The 22,110-nt window shown below is 55.9% G+C and overlaps 2 annotated features.

Moving 5' to 3' along the window:
- Positions 309-1,222: an enhancer, noted in NCBI's record as "H3K4me1 hESC enhancer chr8:143226568-143227481 (GRCh37/hg19 assembly coordinates)". NCBI's record gives its function as "activates a minimal SCP1, AML or CMV promoter by ChIP-STARR-seq in primed H9 embryonic stem cells {active_cell/tissue: H9 hESC(primed)}" and the evidence as "EXISTENCE:reporter gene assay evidence [ECO:0000049][PMID:30033119]".
- Positions 13,764-14,265: an enhancer, noted in NCBI's record as "H3K4me1 hESC enhancer chr8:143240023-143240524 (GRCh37/hg19 assembly coordinates)". NCBI's record gives its function as "activates a minimal SCP1, AML or CMV promoter by ChIP-STARR-seq in naive H9 embryonic stem cells {active_cell/tissue: H9 hESC(naive)}" and the evidence as "EXISTENCE:reporter gene assay evidence [ECO:0000049][PMID:30033119]".

Below are 22,110 nucleotides of genomic sequence, written 5' to 3' on the forward strand. Positions count from 1 at the left end.
ACACCTCGGGTCCCATGGGAGCTTTGCCTCCACCCCTGCCTGGGCCCCAGCCCATCCCAGGAAGCCCTCCAGCCTCCAGAGAGCCTGAGGTCTGATAGGCAATCTCAGGATCATAAACCAATCAGCACCATTTATTGATCTTTTTGTCTCATCCACCAGCCACTGCAGGAATTCCTCCCCTTGGACCCAACGTGGGGCCACCCAACATACTTGCTGGACTCTGACAAGAGTAGCTCCCTTCCTGGGGCAGCTGTTCTGCCCTGGAGCAGTTTTTGACTGCTGGGAAGCTTTTTCCTGGATTACACTCCAGTTGGCGTCTCTGTGACCCCCTGATCTTCAGCAAGACTGCCGAAGACAGAGAAAGAATAAGAGTCATTTGGGGAAACCTCTGTCAGAATCTAAGGCTATGAGAAAGGCCCTCTCAGAAGAGCTTTGGGGGCCTGGAGGAGCCATGAGGACCCCTGCCTGGAGGGACAGAATGGGAGGGCAGCAGCCTCAGGCCATGGGGGCGGGGAGCTGCGGTCCTGCAGGGTTGGGCTGGCCAATGCACAGGTGGGCAGGCAGCCAGCCTGGAGCCACCCACTCTAAGCACTCACAGGAGCCCCAGCTAGTCAGGGCACCCAGGAGGCTGGCGAACCCTCCTGGGTACTGAGGAGACAGAGGAATGCTCCCTGTGACCGCTACTGGCCCCTGCGGGACAAGGGCTGGGTGAGGATCCCAGTGATGCTGCTACGTTGTCATCTCTGTGGGCACTGTGGTGGGGCTTGGGGCTCAGGAGAGCACCCCATACAGAGTTGACAAGACCAGAGAGACCAGTGATGGGGAGCCACCAGCAGGAGCAGCAGCCAGCACTGGAAGCCCCCTGCACCAGGCCCCCACGACCCTGCCACGCACTCCCCCACAAGCCTGGCCCAGCGGCCTCCAGAGTTCCCTCCCCACACAGCCAGCCTGGGACTCCTTTCGGCTCCCTGCTGCCCTGCGGGCCTGGTCCTCTCCTTTCCTTTCTCCGTGTTTGGTGAATGAGCAAATCCCATTCGTGCATGAGGCCGCTCTCTGCCGGGGCCGCCCAGCTGGGAAGGCTGACAGCACGTGGCTCTGGGGAATCGCAGGGGCTCTGTCTGGAACACCTTACATTTGAGATCTGGCTGAGCACCAGGGGAGACGCCCATCTGAGGGTTGGAATCAAGGGCCTAGATTTGCGAGGCGAGGTCAGGCCTGGAGACAGCAGCTGGGGCCCTCTGCTTGTCCTGGCACCTACAGCGTTGAGACTTTTGCACCCACCCAAGAGTGGACGTGGAGGCTGGGGGCCAAGGTCTCTGGTGACTGGACATCAGGGGGCAGGGGACAGACCTCCCCCTCACTCCAGGGAGTTCCTTTCTCCACTTCTTTGCCCTCGGCACACCTCCCCGGGCAGCCAGGAACCTCCCCCGGGCCAATGCCGGGCAAGGCCTCCCCTCCACAGAGAAACCCAGCAGCCGGGGCCTCTGCTAGGGTGAATTCAACTCGTGCGGCCCGAGTTGCCTCACCTGGTTCTGAACCTGACTCACCGTGACTCCCCTCAGCCAGCGCACGCCTCACCCCAATGCGCTTCCATCTGAAGTAGTTCCATGCGGCGCCCTCACTGTGACCTGATGGCAACTGCCTCTCCAGGACTGGATTTGAAGACCCGGGAGACGCCTCCGCCCTCGGGGGCTCGCTGCTCGGCCATCCGGGTGGGCTAGGAAACCCCGGAGCCATCACAAGGCAGACATGAGTCTGGGCTGGGCGGGGCTGTGTCCAGGGATGTGGCTGGAGAAGTGGGAGGGCCCAGCCTTGGGGAGGGGCAGGAGGTTTCCCAGGGAAGGGGCGCCTGGACCTTGGCCTGGGGCCGCCAGGGGGTGACTGCAGCCGACACAATGAGCAGGAAGGACGTGCTTGGGAGCCTCCCAGCAATCCCAGAAGCCAGGGTGTCAGGGTCCCTGGCACAGGCTCTGGAGTAGGAAGGACCAGGTCACACTCTGGCTTTGTGAGTTTGTCGAGTCACTCAACTTCTCCAGGCCTCAGTTTTCTCCTCTGAAAACTGGGTACAATGACAATCCTGATGTGGGTGACTTTAGAGCACTCCCCTGTCCACCATTGTGACTGGCTGGGCCAGGAATGACCCCCAACTCCAGGCGGGCCCATCACAGTGGCTCCCACACCTCTCGGCACCTTGGTGACTGGCCCAGGAACGACCCCAGCCTCAACCCAGGCCAGCAAGTGCCTTCGGAGGGATTTTTAGGATCAGACACAGCTGGGGGTGAGCTGCTTGGCTGCTGAAGCTCAGAGCTGCAGACCCAGGAGCTGGTGGCTGCCATGAGCACTGTGCCCTGAAGAAGGCCGGTTTGCAGGGGACAAAGGGTGGCGCGTAGAGACAGGAGGTGGGGTGAGTGCAAAAACCCTAGAGGCCCGGCGCCACCATACCAGCTGGCCAAGACGTCCCCAGTGAAAGTCCTGTGGGGTCTGTGCTGTGTGGCACCAGGCTGTTGTCACTCACAGTCCACCCCCCTAGCCGGCAGATCCATGCCTTGGGATGGGTGCAGATTCCAAATGCGATGACACACAGAGGGAACTCAGCCCAGTGAGCCCAGAGCCTGAGGCACCCACTCGGCCCCGCCATGCACATGGAGGAGGTGCAGGCTGCAGCTCGACAGTGTTCCAGCAACAAGGTTTTCCTGCTGGAAACTCCCCGTCCTGGTCTCCCACCCACTGTGTGGCCATTCTCACAACTTCAGTTGCTGGAGTCATTGCCCTGAATCAAAGACCAGAGGCTGTCCACCCACGTAGACCTGTCCGTGGCTAGTGCAGGCTCTGCACTCAGCACTCAAGGCCCCTCGAGGGGGCACGCCCGGACCCTGCCAGCACCACCTCATGCCAGCCACACCAAACGGCATGTTCTGCTGTGACCTCTGAGACCAACCTCGCCCCATCCTTCCTCTCTGCACTCCCACACCCCCACCCTGTGTCCACCTTTGGAAGCAGATGGTGGCTTACTTGGGAGGTGAGCCCTGGAAAGACCAGTGGGGTTGAGGCATGAGACAGGGAAGGAAAGCAACCAGCAGGGTGTCCTAAAGCCACTGGCCACCGTGCACAGCTAGAGGTCGGTGCCAGAGAGACCAAGGGGAGTCGTGTGGCCAGGCCCTGGGAACCACTTGCCAGGCAGGGCTCATGGCTGCCCCGGCTTCACCTGGGGAGTGTGAGTTCCCAGCACTTCCGCATGAGCCCCACAGGCCAGAGAAAGCAGGGCATGGAGGGGCGGAGGCAAAGCGGGAGGCTGCAGGGACGGCAGCGTAGCGGGAGGCCGAGGGGACAGCGCCATGGCCAGCGCTTGCTCCTCTGACCTGCTTGCCCCTCCCTGTAGTGTCTCTGGCACACTCACACACTTGCACACTCCTGCTCTGTCACCCACAGGGACACCGAGCAGCCCTCTCGGGCACCCTGAAGCCCTCCTTTCTGCGGGCTTACTGGGCGTCACTGATGCGTTGACTTGCACGTGCCCGCCTGGGCCTGTGGGCCTCTCACTAGAACGCGGCATCTCTCCCCCAGTGTCTCCAGCGCTAGGAAGAGGCATTCAGCAACGATTGGCCAATGAGCAAATTCATCCGGAAGTTCAAGAGTTGCTTCCAAGGCTGGGGGTGGGGAGTCAATGTCCCTGGCAAGCAGGAAAGGGGGAATCTCCCCACGGAGAAATCCACAGGGCAGGGTGGGGGTAGGTGGCTGTTCTGGGAGCCCAGGAACTGTCTGGCCTCTGGGGCCGAAGGCCAGATGGCAGGTCCCTGAATATGATGAAGGCACAGCCCCACTTTCAAATCAGGCAAATAGAAATAGTTTTTTTTAGGTCAGGGTGAGGAAAGAAGAGAACACTTAGGAAGCAGAAATTACAAAATTCTGAATAATTGCCTCTTAAAAGCATTTTAACTCCCCTGAGGTGAGCGGCCCCTGCGTTGAGTTGATCCTTGGGCACCAAGCCGTACAGCTGCAGGAGAGGGGTCCCGGCCCGGCTCCTCGGAGCCGCAGCCCTGCAGCTCAAGTCAGGGGCGGACAGGAGTAGGGTGCCATGGTGCCAGAGACCAAGGCCAGGCATCAGCCCCTGCTGACCTCTCTCCCTGAGCCCCAGCGCAGCCCACACTCCGCATCCCAGGCATGCTGGCATGTTTGCAGGACCTGTGCAGACCGACAGCAGCTGCTCCCTGCAGGGGAACTGGTAAACTCTTGCTGGGGCCATTACCCAGCGGATGAGGCGCCTTCAGCCAGCCTTTCTCTCCAGGAGAGGGTTTGGGATCCACTCTGGGAAGCGCTTTTCCTCCCTGTGCTCAGCCCAGGAGGAAGAGCCACAGCGGGGACTCAATCAGCAAGGCACTTGGAGCGAGTTGAAATGGGGTTGGGTTGTTAGAATTGGGAGCTGTGACCGGAATAAGCTGTGTCTGCCAGCGAGGAGGTGACCAGAACAGCGGGGTTCATAGCATGGAGCTGGCTGAGGTGGGATGGGTACGGTCATGCTCCACTGGAGTTAACTTGGCTGAGCTGAGCCAGGCCGGGTGGCCCAGCCTCAGCTGCAACGAGGGTGTGGGCCAGGCCAGAAGTGTCCACAAGGGGCCGCAGGGGAGTCTCAAGGCCAGATAGAAGAGAGTCGATGATAATTGATAAAGACGATAAGGTTGAAGAAAGGTGTTATCAATGCGAGTGAGGGTCTGGGAAATGTAGAAATAAGTTTGGGGTCAGGAGGGAAATTAAATATGGCTTCCAGTTAGAGGGGCTGGGGCAGGGGCCAGATTAAACAAGATGGAGCAGGATCCTGAAGGAAGATCAGGAAATAATTTCCTAAATGTAGGCTGACCATGAGAGCGTTCCTAACCCTGACCACCGACCTCCTTTCAAGAGTATGGACCTTTTCGCTAAGGAAGATGAAATGTATATAAACTGTGACTTTTTCCAAAATGGAGACCATGCTTTATTTATCTTGGTAAATTGTCCTCCATTTCTATCCCTCCAGCTCATCCCAGGTCAGAAGAGTATATAGTACACAATAGACATTCAGAAAATAATCAAATTGATAAATGTATGGGTGGATGGATGGATGGATGGATGGTTGAAGGCTGAGTGGATGAGTGATGGATAGTGGATGGATGAATAAATAGATGGATAGATGAGTGGATGAATGGGTAAGTGGATGGATGAATGGATGGATAGATGGGAAGATGGGTGGACAGATGAGTGAAGGAGTAGATGGATGAATGAATGGATAAATGGAAGGGTGGATGTATGAGTGGATGGATGGATAAATGGATGGATGGATGATGGTGGATGGATCGAAGGTGAGTGGATGAGTGATGGATAGTGGATGGATGGATACATAGATGGATGAGTCAGTGGATGGATGGGTGGATGGGTGAATGGATGGATGGATGGGTGGGTGAATGGATGGGTGGGTGGGTGGATGGATGGATGGATAGATTGGTGGATGGGTGAATGGATGGATGAATAGATGGGTATATGGGTGGATGGATGGATGGATAAATAGATGGATGAGTGGATGGATGAATGGGTGGATGAATAGATGGGTGGATAGATGGATAGATAGGTATATGGATAGATGGATGGATGGATAAATGGATGGATGGATGATGGGTGGATGGATGGAAGATGAGTGGATAAGTGATGGATAGTGGACGCATGCATAAATAGATGGATGAGTCGGTGGATGAATGGGTGAATAGATGGATGGATGGATGGATGGATGGCTAGAAGGATGAGTGGATGGATGAATGGGTGGATGAATAGATGGGTGGATGAATGGGTATATAGGTATATGAATGGATGGATGGATGGATGGACGATGGGTAGATGGATGGAAGATGAGTGGATGAGTGATGGATAGTGGATGGATGATAAATAGACGGATGAGTCGGTGGATGGATGGATGGGTGGATAGATGGCTGGATGGATGGATAGATGAGTGAATGGGTGGATGAATGAATGGATAGATGGATAAATAGATGAACAAGTGGGTGGATGAATGGGTGGATGAATGAATATGTAGGTAGATGGATGGATGGATGGATGGATGGATGGATGGATGGATGGATGGATAGATGAGTGAATGGGTGGATGAATGAATGGATAGATGGATAAATAGATGAACAAGTGGGTGGATGAATGGGTGGATGAATGAATATGTAGGTAGATGGATGGATGGATGGATGGATAGGTGGATGGATAGGTGAATGGGTGGATGGACGAATGGGCAAGTGGATGGATGATAGGTGAATGACAGAGGATAGATGGATGAAATGAATGTGTGAATAAACAATGGGCAAAGGATGGATGGATAAGTGGATGGGTGATGGATAGATGAGTGGATGGGTGATGGATGGATGGATGGATGGCTAACAGACTGCTTCACTTAGTGCTTAGAACCTGGCAGTGCAACCAGAATTCCATGCCCACTGAATTCTGTCTCTGCCCTGAATTCCCAATACCTGGATACTCTGGAACTTCTGCCCAGGTTCCATCTGACCCCTCAAACTCTGCTCCAGAGTGCCTGGACCATATAATAGAAATTCTGCCTCTATTCTGATTCCTCTGTGGAATCTCAGCGCAGGCACCTTCCTTAGCTGGGCTCCGACACCCCTCTGGACATTAGCCACACTCTCTGCCCTAGAGAGCTGGCCCTGACCCATAGTTGCTGGCAGGGGTCCTACTTTAACTTGAACCAATGTCTCCCCCTTCCTGCTCTAGATCGTGATAGCTCCCATTTAAAACTCTGGGACCCAGACTGCGGGGACTTCCAGCCACAAGCCCTGCAACGCCAGCAGGAGGGCAGTTGTCCAGGGAGCCTCGAGTCAGAAGAGAAGGAACTGCTGCTTTCTTGGGGATGTCCAGTCAGACCTGTGAGGCCCTTGTCCAACCCCTTCCAGACCACTTGGGGTCATTGCCCCAGCAACCCCCTGGCCTGCTGGGCCCAGCCCTCCCCTCCAGCCCACCCCCACCCCGAGGTCTTCTAGCCACAGCCCCAGCCCCCAACTGCTGCTCTTATCTGCTCTTCAGGACCCTCGCCCACGGCTGTGAGCTGCCTTTCAGTCCTGGCTCTTGCTGACCTCCTGCCCCTGCAGAGCGTCTCTGAAAGCCCCTCCCCAATTCATCCCAGGTGCCATGGCGCTGCTCCCCACCCCCACGCCCACCTCACCTGAAACTCTCTGTGCCCATCCAGTCCATCTTGACACCACCTCTGCCTGCTCTGAGTTCCCTTAGCCAAGGCCCCTCCAGGAAGAGCCGGAAGGAAAGGCCTGCTTCAAGGACCAGTGAGGACGTCAGCAGCACTGCACCGGTGTGGCCTGGGCTTGGGCCTGGGCTTCTGTCTGTGGCATGGGCAGCACAACCACCTTGTGGCGCTGATGAGTGGGTCAAGAAGCTGAGCGGTGCCCGGCACCTGGCAGATGCCCAGTGAACACAGCTTCCTCTCTTCCTCTGCCTTTAGTGCAGGGATAGCCCAGCAGGCAGCACAATTCTCAAAGAGGCCAATCCAGCAGCTCAGACAGGATCACAGAGCCCCAGTCTGCAGGGTTCGTGCCCCAGCCGCCGCCACTTCCTTCTCTCTAGCAAAGCCCCAGACAGGTTGCCCCTGTCCAAGGCTGGAGAGCTCTCGGGGGTGTGGGGGGACGTCTAGCCCAGGCCATGACCAAGGCTGTGCTCAGTCCCTTCCCTCCCCAGCCATGGGGGCCCACAAACCAAAGTCCCCAGCAGGAAGCCATTCCTGTCACCCCCACTTTCAAAAGGGCCATCACGGCCTAGAGAGGGAAAGGAGATTTCCAGGGTTGCCCAGCATGAACGGAGGAGGTGGGACCTCACCCCTCCACACTGTATTCCAGGGCAGAATCCTGGGATCCCAGAGGCATGGCCAGCACCGGTTCCAGCTCCCTGTCACCTGCTGGCATCCGCCCCCATACACTGACATACGTGAAAGAAATCTGCTGGCAGGGAGATGCTCCCCGTGTCAGCCCTCAGTGAGCCCCAGAAGAGCCCCAGAGCAGGGACGGGGCAAAGAGGGAGGCCAAGGGCCACACACCTGGTCCCCAGACTGCTCGAGCCTGCTGTGTGGCCTCTGAGCCTCACCTCTCCGACAGTCACTTCAGGGTGCCATGGTTAGGAGCAAGAACCCTGGGCCACACGGAGTGAATCCCCACTCTCCTTTCTCTACCTGGGCAACCTTGGGCCTCTCCGGGCCTCTGTTGCTTCATTTGTACATGGGGACAGAACTAAACATCCTCTGTGGGTGACAGCAGCATGGAGAGAAGCTGGCGAGGCATGCAGAACCCAGCCCTGGGGCATGGCGGGACCCGTGTCTCAGGAGAAACCAGGCGAAGGCGAAGGGCCGGTGGCACCAGAGCAAGGGCTGAGCAGCTGCCGGGCTGTGAGAAGGCGGATACGAATCCCAGCAGGGCAAGCGGGCGTCTCCTTGGCCCTCGCTCCAAGAGGCGCACAAGAAATGAAGCCGCTGGCAGCAGAAGGTGCAGGAAAGTGGACAGACCGGAGCCTTGTCGCTCATAATGCCTTGTGCCTCACTCAGCCCTCCCAAACCCCTCTGTATGAACAGGCCCGTTCTGCAGATGCTGGGGAGGCATTGGCAAGGTGAAGAGCCTCAGCCTTCTGGCTAGGGCTGGGGGAGCCAGCACTGACCCATCCACCTCCGTCTCTGTAGAGCCCAGGCCCCCAGGTCCCCCGCCCACACCCAGGAAAGCCACTGCGTCATGCCAGCCTTGGCAACCTCTCCTCGGTGGCCCCATCTCGCAGCAGTCGGAGGTCATGGCGGGTGTGAGTTGTCAGAGCCTGCCTCCTACTAAAGTGTATTTGCCACTTTTTGCCCATGAAGCCTTGGGAATCAGGTTTATGAGAGATTTGCGGACCTCGGCAGGAAAGCAAGGCTCTGTAGGCAAGGACTGGAGGCCTCCTCCGTTCTGTCCTTGCAGTGACAGGAATAGGAGTCACGTGTTCCACCCGGCCTCAGTTTCCTCATCTGTGAAATGGGAACAAGGTCACCCCCTATCCGCCCAAGCTGTTGGTGAGTTTCACAAGCCAGAGTTGCAGCCTGCAACATCGAGTGCCGTGCGTGGAGCCGTGCTGTCCATGTCCATGGGGAAACGGCCCTGGGAGGGCATTGCTCCCTCTTGCAGCTCTCCCCACAGCAGGCCGCTCACCCTCCAGCCTCTTGGGAGCCAGCTCCTTGCTTTCCGGGGCCCTCTGGGCAGCGCAGTGGCAACAGCTACCCTCCGGACCCTCTGGCTCCCCAGCAAACGCCCTTGCTTGGCCCCCTTATTCTTGCACAAATCAAGCAACTTGTGAATGTGCTGACCTCTTTCCCTCCCTTCCTTTATTTACTTTCTCGTGGTTTAAATGCATGCTGCTGTGGAGTCCGCTGCGCAGCCGAGCCCAGGTGACATTGCAGGCAGGTCCCTCCGGCCGCAGGGGAAGGGACCGACAAGGAGTCCAGGACCCCCCGCAGCTTCCACCATGCGCAGCTCCCCCAGCCCATGGGAAGTCCCTGGGCTGTCGGCCAGCCTGGCAAAGTCCTCCATGGTCCAGCTGGAGCTGCTTCTCCAACCACAGCCGGCGGCTGACACAGCCCCGGGGCTGTGACCATCTGAGAGGACCAGGGCGATGGTGAGGCTACATGTGTGATGGGACTGACGTTTATGAAGCCACCACCAGGCCACGGCCTCCCCGCTATCCATGACACAGATGGTAAAGTGGAAGGAAGCTGGGAGCCCTGGGGATATGGGGAAGTCACTCAACCCTGTGACCTCAGGAATATAAAGACAAGTAATGCACATCGCACTCCTGCTCCAGGGTGGACACCTGGCCCCGGCAGGCATGTGGAGCCTGGGAGTCCCACAGAGCCACGTAGTCAGGCCCTCGGAGTGGGAGGGACCAAGAGCTGCTCAGGCTGGGACAGAGAAGGCAAGACCTGGAACCTCACGCTGGCCTCATAGACACAGGGACCCTCTAGGGCAGGGGCCAGCAGCCCCATCCACCCAGCTGCCCACACCCAGCCCCCAGGGAGCAACTGTTGAGGCCAGCCAGGCCCACAAGCACCCCCTCTGCTCCCTGGACCTTCTGTCCGATGTTCTCTGCTTCTGCAAAGGGGCTGTGTCTGAGTTTGGTGGGTCCAGGGCACCTCCCCAGGCTTGCTCTGCCCAAAGTACAGTGGGATGGGAGGGGCTGGCACAGCAGCAGCCCCTGGCAGGCAACAAGGCCCTCACCTTCCCTTCTCGCCTGGCCTCCTGAGGCCTGCACACCGTTGGTAGTTGGCACCCAAGGCTCATGGGGAGACAGTTAAGGCTTGAAGAGGCAAAGGGACTTGCTAATGAAACCTTGGGAGCGTTAGACACTAAAGGCAAGTGCTGCCATGTGTTGGACCAGGATGGGTCTTCACTACCCCTCCCAGGCTCCCTGCTCAGCTCCAGGACACGCTGTAAACATGGCCTCCCCCAGGACTGCCCAGTCCCCTGGGAGCTCACGCCACCCGAATCCATTCTACTGTACTTGCCTGGACACACCAGAAAGACTCTGTCCTGTTTCGTATTCTGCGGCTTCCAGGAAGGAGAAAAGAGGTCATGAAATGTCTAGTGAATTAATAAATTATGGACAAGTAAAGGATCAATGTTCTTTTTGTCTTGAGCATTTTTCTGCAATAGCAGCACGCCCCTATTAACAACATCAACAAAAGTCAAGTACGAAGAAGCAGGAAGGCACTCACCACTCATGGTCCCACTGCCCTGAGATAACGACACTCACAGTTTTCAAAATGTTTTTCTAGGCTTAGCTTTTTGACTGAAATAAATGCATCGTTGCAATTATATTTAATTGGATCCCTTGACAAGCCCTTCCTTAGAGAGCTTTTTTCACGAGGAACTTGTGTTTTTGCAGGGTAACCTGGAGACCAGAGGTGTACCACGAAAGCACTTCGCCCAGGGCCCTCTCCATCGTACACTGCGTTGTGGGCCCAGGCAAGTCAGGGGCTTCTTCCCAGGAGGGCTTGGGTGCAGACCTGCGGAGGGGCCCACAGCCACTCTGGTCCCTCCCTGCCAGGAGGATGTCGCAGGCTTAGAAACTGGACAGATATCTACAGTTCTGGCTTTTTCTTTCAGTTTGCTTCAGCAATTTAATTCCAGCCCAGCACAGGGTGGAACAGTTTCCCAATGCATGCGTGCCGCAGGGGGCTAGCTGCTTCCAAACCCCAGAACCGCCGCAGGCTCCAGGCAAGGCCAACACTGCCCACTCTCCTCGCCACTCCCAAATATGTTCCGTGCCATTCCTTAGACCATTCCATTTTGCAGAGAAGACTGAGGACAAACTGAGGTCTGGTCATTAGTACAGATTGTGGTTTTGTGTTTTCTGTCCAGATACTTACTGAATTCTTTTTATTTATCTTTAAAATTTGAAGATCTTGCCAGCAGGTATCTGGAGGCGTGGGCTCCTTTCATGGCCGGCGCACCTGCCCGTGCGCCTGTGTGGGGCTCTGGGCGGCTCCGGCGTGCTCACTTGCCAGACACGGGAGTTTTTCCTTCTGTTCACTGTTCCAGTGTCCTCCTGAAGGCCGCCTGTCACCTCAGATTGCGTCTGCCGCTCTGGCGTTCGGTCTCTCCCTCTCATCTGGAGCTGAAGGGTCCGTGTGTCTGCATGCCCCAAGGATGACCTTCTGCCCTGCCGCGCTGCCTTCCACTGCCCTGTGTGGGTGTCAAGTCCACCACTGCCTAGAACTTGAACTCCTACAATTCCTGAGGCCCCATTCAGCTTCCTTCATGCTCAGCCCGTTCCCTTCTAGGCACCTGCTCCTGCTTCAGAGCAAACATTTCTTTTTAGTATTGTTTGTTTGTTTGTTTGTTTGAGATTCAGGGGGTACCTATCCAGGTTTCTTACCAGGTATATTGCATGATGCTGGGGTTTGGGATTCTATTGTACTTGTCACCCAAACAGTGAACACAGTATCTGAGAGGCAGCTTTTCCACCCTTGCACCTCTCCCTCCCTCCCCACTTTTGAAGTCCCCGTTGTCTGTGGATCCCATGTTTATGCCTGTGTGTACCCAACATTTAGCTCCTGCTTGTAAGTGAGAACAGGTGATGTTTGGCTTCCTGTTTCTGATTTAATTCACTTAAGACGATGGCCTCCAGCTGCCTCCATGTTGCTACCAAGGCCATGATTTCGTTCCTTTTTATGGCTGTAGAGTATTCCATGGTGTACATGGACCACATTTTCCTTATCCGATCCACTGTTGTGTGTCCCTGGGTGGATTCCGTGTCTTTGCTGTTGTGAATAGTGCTGCAATGAACACAGCAGTGCAGGTGTTTTGTGTGCCATGTGGAAGGGCACTGTGGTTTGGGATGTTTGTTTATGTTGTGAATCCTCAGAGCTCCAATGTTCTCCTGTCTTCAGGACATGTCCCCTTTCCTCTGCACTGCAGCGTTTTCTTTCTTTCTTTCTTTGGCCTCTCACTAGTGAGGGGAGAGCCCCCCACGCCTGTGGCCCGGAGCCTGTGAGCAGCTGCCCTCCACCTGCCCTCCTTCCAGCTGGTGCTGACTAAACCCCCTAGAAGGATGGCTGGAAGGCAGAGGGTGCCCACAGCGCCCACCCTGCTCATGCCAGCGTGGCAGGTAGAGTGGTTTTGGGTCTCCTGCTCCTTGCCTGGCTCCCCTCTTTTCCCTGTCAAGTGGGACACATGAGAAAATGGCGATTCCCATCATGCACTGCTGCAGGGCTCTTCCCCTCCACCCCCACAGGAGCACAGGCCCCTCCACTCCCCGGCTAGACCGCTGCTCCTTGCATGCTGGGGGAAGTGGTACACTCTTGTCCCAGTAAACCACAACTCCAGGACAGGAATCTCTTGGGTTGGTGTTGACCACACCCTGGAGGCGACCTGAGACGGGCTCCGTGTTTCCATGGAATGTGCCTCCTCAGGGCGGCAGTGGTGCTTTTATGCCCAGTTTCACTGTCAGGAAGCCAGTGGTTAAGTCCTCCCAGGGCCTGGGCAGGGGAACTGTCAGCCCTATGCATCATGGAGCAGTAAGCTTGGACCCTTCAGCTTCCTGTCTTGGGGGGCTACATCCCACTCTGCTGAGCAGGAATCTGCCACCCCTGGTGCCCCAGGGTGAGCAGCAGAATCTGAGGAATGGCCTGCCCTGGAGAGTGGGCCCATCCCGGCACCCAGCTCAGAGCCAGAGGCTGGTGGTTGGGATGTTGTGGAAGGGAAGCCCACTGCATTGCCTGGGAGCCTGAGCCCAATTCTGCACCCCAGCCCCAGTTACATATCAAAGGGGGGGCCCAGGGCTGGGTAAGGATTGGGAACCCAAGGCTAGTCCCAGGGAGCAGAAGACAGGGTGCACATTCAGAGAGTGCGGGTGATTTTCCAAATTTCAGCTTCATTGTGAAACATCTATACAGGGAAATACTCACTCACTGTTAAAAAGGATGACGTGCACAGACATGCATGCACGTGTGTACAATGTCCACTGCTAAATGGCAATTTCACAACATAAACCGGAGCGCATGAGGGGACTCCATCCACCTGAGCTGCTGGCAGGCATGTTGGCTTGGATTCCCGAATGCGAGTGACCATGACTTACAGCTGTGGGGCCATGCATGTTTTCTTCCTGTTATTTTTACCTATTTGTTATTGGTTTTAAATTAACTTCTTTCAATTTGTTAGTAAAATATGAACATCCCTGTTCTTCCCCCCTGGCAAGGTTTTCATGTGTCCGGCAACCGGTTCCACAGGCCCTAGAGGGAAGCCAGCAGGCAGGGCTGGTCTCAGACACACTCAGTTGTGTCAGCTCTGGCCTCGGCCGGCCGCCTTCCCCTGGCCCATTTAGCAGACACAGCCATGAATCACAGCTAGCAGCTCCATTCCCAGGAGCACTCGGTGCTTTGACGGAGGAGGAACCAGGGCTGGTGCAGAACCTGACCACACTGGTGCAGCTAAGGCCATGGTCCCGGTAGGAAGACAGTGGGGGCTGGGGTCACAGGACCATTCACACCTCCACAGGCCCCCAACCCGCTCTGCCTGGGGGGACTTGCAGGGACCGTGGGTTCCCCAGACCCATCCTGAGTCAGTTGGCCTCCCTCCAATGGCTGAAGACCACGCCCCTTGCCATGACCTGGGTCAGATGATCCTCAAAAAGGGGGGAAAGGAGGCCAACGTCAGGGACATTTCCTGAGCTGAGTGCCCTGCAGTCACCGCCCCCTGACAGCCGCCCTCCCACACACCAGGGCCTCCTGGCCACAATCAGGCCTGAGCAGCCCAGCACACACTTGCTTCCCTGCAAATGGGCCGGGCTCCCAGGTGGACCCACATCTCCCAGGCTGACCCCTAAATACATGCCTTGGGCAGTGAGGGGCCGAGGAAGGCAGCAGAGGAGGCGGAAGCTCACAGGTCTGAGAGACCCCACTCAGCCCCAGCAGGACTGACATGCCCCCAGACTGAAGTCAAGGCCATGTGCAGCTTCCTGGGCACACACGTGTGGAAAATGCACAAAGCATAAGCCGAGTGTGGGCTTGCCTCTCAGACCAGCCTGAGCCCAGAAGCCTGGCAGTTATCAACAGTAGGAGGGGCCTCTCTTGGGAAGGATGGAATTCCTAAATGAGGAAGGGCCCCTGGTCTTCAAGTCCAGGATGCACCACGAAGAGGCTTTAAACATGCTCACACCTCAAGTCCACCCGAGCCCATCTGTTGTTGCCCAGGCACCACCTGATTCCATTCATTCCCCACACCCAGAAACAGGCCCTCCACCGGAACCACCTGGAAACAGGCCCTCCACCGGAATCACCCAGAAACAGGCCCTCCACCGGAATCACCCAGAAACAGGCCCTCCTCTAGAACCACCCAGAAACAGGCCCTCCACCAGAACCACCCAGAAATGGGCCCTCCAACAGAACCACCCAGAAACGGGCCTTCCACCGGAATCACCTGGAAACAGGCCCTCCACTGGAACCACCCGGAAACAGGCCCTCCACCAGAACCACCCAGAAGCAGGCCCAGTACCCAGTAATCAAGAATCATGGCTGTTTACCTTCATTGCTTTTTTTGTTTGTTTTGAGACGGAGTCTCGCTCTTGTTGCCCAGGCTGGAATGCAATGGTGCGATCTCAGCTCACTGCAACCTCTGCCTCCCAGGTACAAGCGATTCCCTGTCTCAGCCTCCCAAGTAGCTCGGATTACAGGCATGTGCCACCACACCCAGCTAATTTTTTTGTATTTAGTAAAGATGGGGTTTCACCATGTTAGTCAGGCTGGTCGCAAACTCCTGACCTCAGGTGATCCACCTGCCTCGGCTTCCCAAAGTGCTGGGATTACAGGCGTGAGCCACTGCACCCAGCCTTTGTTTTGTTTTGATCTTCACCCTGAGTGGGGCTGAGTGGGGTCTCTCAGACCTGTGAGCTTCCGCCTCCTCTGCTGCCTTCCTCGGCCCCTCACTGCCCAGAGCATGTATTTAGGGGTCAGCCTGGGAGATGTGGGCCCATCTGGGAGTCCGGCCCATTTGCAGGGAAGCAAGTGTGTGCTGGGCTGCTCAGGCCTGATTGTGGCCAGGAGGCCCTGGTGTGTGGGAGGGTGGCTGTCAGGGGGCGGTGACTGCAGGGCACTCAGCTCAGGAAATGTCCCTGACGTTGGCCTCCTTTCCCCCCTTTTTGAGGATCATCTGACCCAGGTCATGGCAAGGGGCGTGGTCTTTGCCGAGATCCACTCAAGGTGAGGGGCAGACCCCTGCATGCTCAGCACAAAGCGTGCCCTGGGTGGGACCCCCACAGATGGCTCAGGCTCACACAAGCTCCTGCCATAGCCCATGGGGAGGCCAGCAGCCCCTGAGGGTCACCTCAACCTCCCAGCTCCTGCCCGTTGCCTGGTGCAGAGGAGGCGCCGATGGACGTTCCCAGGAAGTCTCAGGCCCGGCGCTCTCTCAGACTCAGGCTTCTGGGGGGCCTCTCAGCAGCTCTCCCTGGTCTGTGCCTGGGCAGCCGCGGTTCCTCCCGCCCGCCATGCCCTGTGGCCTCTGTGACTCCTCCAGGACTGACCGATCCTGGGCAGTGGGGGCTCCGCTGGGCAGTCTCTCCCAGGACTGACCCTGCGAGGGCAGGCACATATCGGGGCCAATTCTGCAGCCCCATCATGCGGCAGAGGGAATTAATGAATGAATGGATGAATGACAAGTTCATTAATAAGAACTTGGAAAATAAGGAAACTGAGCCACAAAGTAGCAAGGTGCCCCACTCTCAGGCCATAGGAGAGCTTCTAACACAGAGCAATATGCTGGGTAACATTTATTTGGCACTTGCTGTGTTTCCACACTATTCTAAGCACTTTCCGTCCATGACCTCTGGGAGCCTCATGACAGCTCTCAGAGCAGACACCAGCTCTCAGCCCACTGCACAGATGAGAACAGCAGGGCTCAGCACGGGCCAGTGATTAGAGATCCATGTTTCAGTAGTGACAGAGCCAGCATCTGAACCTGCGGCTGGCCTTCAGCATCCACACTCGGTTGTAACCACGGCTCCACCCTGCCCTGGGCACACAGCGCCTGGGTCCTGAGCATTCCTCACTCACCCTGCACTGCTTAGAGCCTGGCAGTGCCCCCACCCCAGTGCTGTCCTCAGCCGTGCACCAGGCAGGGGCATGTGGATCCCAGGGAGATTTGATGCGTCTTCCTGGGGCTATCTGAAGATACAAGGCTGGGAAAGGAGGTAATTTACCCAGTAAGTGATTCAGAACATTATGTTTAGATTGGAACAAACATGGCTATATTAAGAATGCAGAATGGATTTTTAACATGTAACAAGAGATGACTAAGAAACAGCAAGCCACAATGTTGCAACTCTTCTAACTATCCTGGGGCAGAAGTGACCTTCTAGGTGCCCCGTGATGCAGTCCTAATTTTACCTAATTAATAAGAGAAACAATGGAGAACCAGAGAGGTTGAGCCACCAGCCCATGGCCACCCAGCAGTGCCTCTGGACCAGAGGTGCCCTGACAATGGCTTGGGCCCAGGCACTGACCCAGAGTCAGGTGGATGAGTTAATGCCACAATTACAGACTGACACACCCCACTCCAGTCAGCTGCTGGCACCCAGCAGTTTTGCCTCCTGCCTTATGCCCCCTGCTCTCTCCTCCAGCCCCAAGTGCAAGTACAGGGAAGGTGATAGCCATGGGGCCAACCTTGGCCAAAGGGACGAATTCTTCTCCTTCCCCCTTCCTCCCACCTTGACAGCTATGCAGTGCTGTCTACACAGCTGCTCTCCTGGTCACACATGAAGGGCAGTGAATGGACTCTGTGCAGGAGGTGTGAAAATGGGTAAATGGATAGAGGATGGATGGATGGATGGATAAATGGATCAATGGATAATAGATGAATGTTGGATGAGTGAATGGGTGGATGAATAGATGGATGGACAGATGATGGAGCAATGAAAGAGAGATGGAGATGGACGATGGATGGACAGAGGATAGATGGGTGGATGGATAGATGGACAGAGGATCGATGGATGAAAGAGATGAAGATGGGGGATGGAGGATGGATGGACAGAGGATGGATGGGTGGATGGATGGATGGATGGATGGATGGAGGATGAGTGGATGAAAGAGAGATGAAGATGGGGGACAGATGATGGATGGACGAATGGAAGATGGGTGAGTGGATGGATTGACTGAATTCAAGGATGGATGGAGGATGGGTGGATGAAAGGGAGATGGAGATGGAGGATGGATGGGCAGAGGATGGATGGGTGGATGAATTGATGAATGGATGAAGAATGAATGGATGAAAGAGAGATGGAGATGAAGGATGGAAGATGGATGGATGAAGGATGGATGGGTGGATGGATTGACAGATGAATGGAGGAGGGATGGATGAAAGAGAGACAGAGATGGAGGATAGAGGATGGATGGATGGAGGATGGATGGGTGGAGGAGGGATGGATGAAAGAGAGAGGAGATGGAGGATGGAGGATGGATGGAGGATGGATGGGTAGATGTATTGACAGATGATGGAGGAGGGATGGATGAAAGAGAGACAGAGATGGAGGATGGAAGATGGATGGATGGGTGGATGAATTGATGTATAGATGGAGGATGGATGGGTGGATGGATTGACAGATGGATGGAGGAGGGACAGATAAAAGAGAGACAGATGGAGGATGAAGGATGGATGAACAGAGGATGGATGGGTAGATGGATGGATGGAAGGATGAAGGATGAACAGATGAAAGAGAGATGGAGATGGAGGATGGAGGATGGATGAACAGGGATGGATGGGTGGATGGATTGACAGATGGATGGAGGATAGATGAATGAAAGAGAGATGAAGATGGAGCATGGAGGATGGATGAATGGGATGGATGGCTAGTTGGATGGATGGATGAAGGATGAAGGGATGAAAGAGAGATGGAGATGGAGGATGGAGGATGATGGATGGATGGGTGGATGAATTGATGGATGGATGGGTGGATGGATTGACGGATGGAGGATGGATGGGTGGATGGATTGACGGATGGATGGAGGAGGGATTGATTAAAGAGAGATGGAGATGGAGGATGGAGGATGGATGAACAGAGGATGGATGGGTAGATGGATGGATGGAAGGATGAAGGATGAACAGATGAAAGAGAGATGGAGATGGAGGATAAAGGATGGAAGGATGGACGGGTGGATGAATTGATAGATGGATGGAGGATAGATGAATGAAAGAGCGATGAAGATGGAGGATGGAGGATGGATGAATGGGATGGATGGGTAGATGGATGGACGGATGAAGGATGAAGGGATGAAAGAGAGATGGAGATGGAGGATGGAGGATGGATGAACAGGGATGGATGGGTGGATGGATTGACAGATGGATGGAGGATAGATGAATGAAAGAGAGATGAAGATGGAGCATGGAGGATGGATGAATGGGATAGATGGCTAGTTGGATGGATGGATGAAGGATGAAGGGATGAAAGAGAGATGGAGATGGAGGATGGAGGATGACGGATGGATGGGTGGATGGATGGAGGATGGATGGGTGGATGGATTGACGGATGGAGGATGAATGAATGAAAGAGAGATGGAGATGAGGGATGGAGGATGGAGGATGGAGGATGGATGGGTGGATGGATTGACGGATGGATGGAGGAGGGATTGATTAAAGAGAGATGGAGATGGAGGATGGAGGATGGATGAACAGAGGATGGATGGGTGGATGGATTGACAGATGGATGGAAGAGGGATGGATGAAAGAGAGATGAAGATGGAGGATGGAGGATGGATGAATGGGATGGATGGGTAGATGGATGGATGGATGGATGAAGGATGAAGGGATGAAAGAGAGATGGAGATGGAGGATGGATGGATGGGTGGACGAATTGATGGATGGGTGGAGGATAGATGAATGAAAGAGAGATGAAGATGAAGAATGGAGGATGGATGAACGGGATGGATGGGTAGATGGATGGATGGATGAAGGATGAAGGGATGAAAGAGAGATGGAGATGGAGGATGCAGGATGGATGGATGGACCGGTGGATGAATTGACGGATGGATGGAGGATGGATGAGTGGATGGATTGACGGATGCAGGATGAATGAATGAAAGAGAGATGGAAATGAAGGATGGAGGATGGACGGACTAAGGATGGACAGGTGGATATAGTGACGGATGAAGAGTTAGAGGATGTGTGGATGAGTGGGTGATGTCATACGCAGGGGATCATGAGGAGAACAGTGCAGAAGAGAAGGCAGTTTCTCACAGGGCTCTGTGGTGACTCATCAAACCCTCGCCCTAAAGCCACCTCTGTGGTGTTCCAGAGTCTCTCAGGTCATGGAAGGGGAGCGTACTCCACAAGGTGAACACAGCGTAGCTTCTGAATTCCTTCTGCAGCTGTGTCACCACAGAGAATCTCCAGTTTCCAGCTGCGGTGACCTGAAGGAGCTTCCACCAGCTCCAGCACTCAGCCAGAACTTGCACCCGGTAGGTGTCACTGGGGGCGAGTTGCCTTCTGGACAGAGGCATCCTTGCTCAGTGCCCAGAGGAGCTGATGGGAAAACCCTTGGGGAGCAGCCAGGCCGCTGATCCACGAATTCGACTTTTCCCCAGAACTGTTTTTGCAGAGGCCACCTCAGACGGACAGACAGAGTAGGGCAGAGCACTGGCTAGGGCGCAGGGGGCAGCAAATGAGGGAAAATGGTCCCTCCTACTGCCTGTCCCCTCGCTAACCAGGAGGAGGCATGCAGAGGCAGGCAGGACCTGTGGATACAGATGCCAGCCCATCCTGGCCCTGCCTGCTGGGTGAGCACAGCCACAGCCAGCGCTCAGCTCCACTCACTCCTGGCTGTGACAGCTGGGAGTGCCCGGTCCCCCACATGGGAGCTAACAGTGCCCACTGGCTGAGAGGCATGAATGCAGCCACCCCAGCCAGGCTCCGCACATGGCCCTGGCTCCTTCAGTGACCACACACTCAGCAGCTGTCATTACCATGAAGAAAAGCCAGGTCCCCTCAGACACAGGTGCCCATGCCCCCAGTCCCTGCTGACCCACCCCCATCCAGGCCTCCCTAACCTAACCAGGGTGACCCCCAGCAGGATGCGGCCGAGCTGAGATAAAGGCACCTGTGCCAGCCCAGCCCAGGGCCTTGGAGGCGGATACTCTGGGGTGCGGCTTTCTCACTGACTGATCTTGGGCAAATCCCTTAAGCTCCTGGAGCGCCACTGGAGGGGTAAGTATTGAGTGGGATAAAGTCTGCAGGACGCTAGGCCAGCACATCCTTACTACATGGTCAGAGAGTGAGAAAACGGGAAAAGCAGCCTCGGATTCCCGCCCAGCCCCAGGCTGGCCCTGCCGGACTCGCCCTGCACCCCACGCACCACGCACAGGCCTGGTCATAGTAAGTGCTCAATGCAAGTGCGTGGAACTCAACTGAGGGGAAAAATTGACTTTCTTCTGCCAAGTGCAGCCCTGAGCGCTTGGAGCCCTCTGATCAATAGCAGCCGTCACTCCCTCCTGCTTCATTAAGTGGCCGCAGTGCTTGTGTTGGTAACTGAGGTAGAAACGAAGCGGGTGCCCTCCATTCTGGTGGAATTGTGTGTGATGTCATGCCGCAGCAGCGACGGAGCCCCCAGATGGAGCCCAACTCACAGACAGGGCTCCCGCTGTGTGACATAAGGATGGCCAGAGCCCCGGCCACAGGCTCTCCTGGATCCTATCACTCCACAGCTGGAGGGAGCTGACCCTCTGCTCAGGGCTTAACTTAGAGCTGAGGAAGGAGACACAAACAGGACCCACCCCTGGCCCCGCCTGCAGGAAGCCCACAGCTGGAGGGGTGGACACACATTTTCTGAAATTGTAAATGCATGTGGGTGGGGGGCTGGGGATGCACCATCTGCCCATTGACGGGGATCAGGAGGGCTCTGCTGGCCCCTGCCCTCTCCAGTGCCCTGGCAGGCAGTGGGGACCTGCACAGCTTCTCTCTGGTGGCTTCCCCTGTACCTCATCTGCAGGAGTGGCCCCAGCTTCCCCATGCCATTGCCCCAGGACCTTACCTGGACACCCTGACTGCCAAGACCTGTGGGTTCTTGGCCAGGTGTGTGGGGGATCCCGCCTGTAATCCCAATCCTTTGGGAGGCTGAGATGAGAGAATCGCTTGAGCTCAGGAGTTCAAGACCAGCCTGGGCAACATAGTGAGACTCCTTCTCTACATAAAATAAAAAATAAAAATTAGCTGGATGTGGTGGTGTGCACCTGTAGTCCCAGCTACTCGGGAGGCTGAGGCAGGAGGATTGCTTGAGCCCAAGAGTTTGAGGCTGCAGTGATCCATGAATGTAGCACTGCACTCCAGCCTGGGAGACAGAGTGAGACCCTATCTCCAAAACCAAAAAACGACCTGGGGGTCCTTATAGACTCAGAAGATGGCAGGGGACCTCTGGGCTCCCCCGACATGCATTTGCCTTCATCCTGAGGTGGGGGGTCTTCATCTCTGAGCTCTCCCTGTCTCCCCAAGATGTGCATTTGTAACAGCCATGTGCCAGGAGCTGGGGCAGAGTGAGGAGCAGACTGGGCACCCACCCTCACCTACTGGGGGC

This window comes from Homo sapiens, chromosome 8 (assembly GCF_000001405.40).
Source record: "Homo sapiens chromosome 8, GRCh38.p14 Primary Assembly".
NCBI lineage: Eukaryota > Metazoa > Chordata > Mammalia > Primates > Hominidae > Homo > Homo sapiens.